Raw genomic sequence first — 502 nt, 5'->3', positions numbered from 1 at the left:
CTCTGGACAGCCTTTCCATGTTCTCTTTTCTGTAAAAAGGAGACTTTTTATTTCTGGCAGCACTTGCCTAGGAGATAGCAAAGTTAAATGTTGTGTTTCATCACAATCAGTCTCAACTAACTAAAACTAATTAAACACTAGGGATTTTGAGTAACCCACCTACCCTCACTAGACCCTTTCTTTATCTAACTGAAGATGTTCATGATCAAGAAGCAAGAGGCTGTCTCACAGATCTCAGCCTTGTATGAAAGGTAGTTCTCAGTGCTTAATTAGCACCAGCAGCATGGCCCTACACTTCATAGCATTTAAAACCTTCAGTTTTGCCCTTAAGTCCACCTATGCAGTTGTCCCCTAATAAGCTCAGCTCAGCTCCAGGCCACCCCTGGCTCTGTGGCCCATGGTTTTTGTATTATTCTTTGTCATCTCTAATTAGCCTCTTCTGCCTCACCACTACTTAATTATTTATCCTTCTCAGAACTTCTGGCGTGTATTGTACTATATT

Source organism: Homo sapiens, unplaced genomic scaffold (genome assembly GCF_000001405.40).
Source record: "Homo sapiens unplaced genomic scaffold, GRCh38.p14 Primary Assembly HSCHRUN_RANDOM_CTG2".
Lineage (NCBI taxonomy): Eukaryota > Metazoa > Chordata > Mammalia > Primates > Hominidae > Homo > Homo sapiens.
The sequence above is the reverse complement of the archived record's forward strand: the minus strand, read 5'-3'. Positions refer to the sequence as shown.